This window comes from Homo sapiens, chromosome 5, assembly GCF_000001405.40.
Source record: "Homo sapiens chromosome 5, GRCh38.p14 Primary Assembly".
Taxonomy (NCBI): Eukaryota; Metazoa; Chordata; class Mammalia; order Primates; family Hominidae; genus Homo; species Homo sapiens.
In genome coordinates this window covers 26,198,152-26,199,298 of record NC_000005.10, presented here as the reverse complement: position 1 = coordinate 26,199,298, position 1,147 = coordinate 26,198,152, and the positions used below count along the sequence as shown (strand labels likewise).

Sequence of the window (1,147 nt, the reverse complement as noted above, 5' to 3'; positions counted from 1 at the left end):
TTTTATCCTCTCTCAGAACTTTTAAATTTCATTTGTATTAAGGAAAATTATTCAATGCAAAAGATTACCTTAAGACGCAATACTTTGCCTTCACAACTTTCTCAGTGATTTCATACTTTATGTCATCCTAAAACAAATGCATGTACTTCACAGATAAATACCAACTCAAAGTTTCTTCATAAAAAGACAAATGAATGTAAAGAAGTTAAAACTAGATATAAAATAGAAAACTTCAGGTTCTTTTATTAATTTTAACCAGTTGATGAAAATATAAATGCTTATATTTTAAAAGGGCATATATATGCTACAAAGCTTAATATTTATCTTCTTTATTCACTTCATTCTTTTCTAACATTGTGAAAATGTTAAATTTTTCTTTACAAAAAGTTTGTTATAAATATATGAATTAATTGATTTAGCATTTAGACAATTCTAGTAATAGTCAATTAATATCTTATTCCAGATTTATCAAAAGTCTACAATGGTTTAGAAAAAATATAGAAAGAAATATTTTTCAAGGTTGAACTGACTATACAAGGTAAGAACTTAAATGATATATATTTACAGTTTTGAAGGTAATAATGCATATTTCAAGAAGACACTTTGACATCTAAACACAAGCATTTTACATATGATGGACAGTATTACAATGGGCAAACAGAATTTTAAAAAAATATATATTGGATACTTTTCTTTGCAAACAAAGTAAAATTGACTGTTTATTAAAAATATTTTGGTTTTAGTTAGTATTTAGTAACTCATATGACCATCAATTACACTATAACCATGAAATCAAGCCCGACTACCTCAGTCGGTGGAGCATGGGACTCTTCATCCCAGGGTTGTGGGTTCGAGCCCCACATTGGGCACCAGATGAAGGGGTGGCCTGCCCCTCCACACCTGTGGGTATTTCTAGTCGGGTGGGATGAGAGACTGAGAAAAGAAAGAAGACACAGAGAAAAAGTATAGAGAAACAACAGTGGGCCCAGGGGCTGCATACCAAGGACCTGCACTGGCACTGGTCTCTGAGATCCCTCAGTTTTTATTGATTATTATCTTCATTATTTCAGCAAAAAGGAATGTAGTAAGAGGGCAGGGTGATAATAAGGAGAAGGTCAGCAACAAACATGTGAGCAAAAGAATCTAC

At 31.9% G+C, this 1,147-nt stretch overlaps 1 non-coding gene across 1 annotated transcript; it reads left to right on the top strand.

The window, feature by feature from the left end:
- Positions 1-796: 796 nt before the first annotated feature.
- On the top strand, positions 797-869 carry TRK-CTT9-1 (tRNA-Lys (anticodon CTT) 9-1). The gene has a single exon. It is a non-coding gene; the product is annotated as a tRNA-Lys (tRNA).
- Positions 870-1,147: the final 278 nt, after the last annotated feature.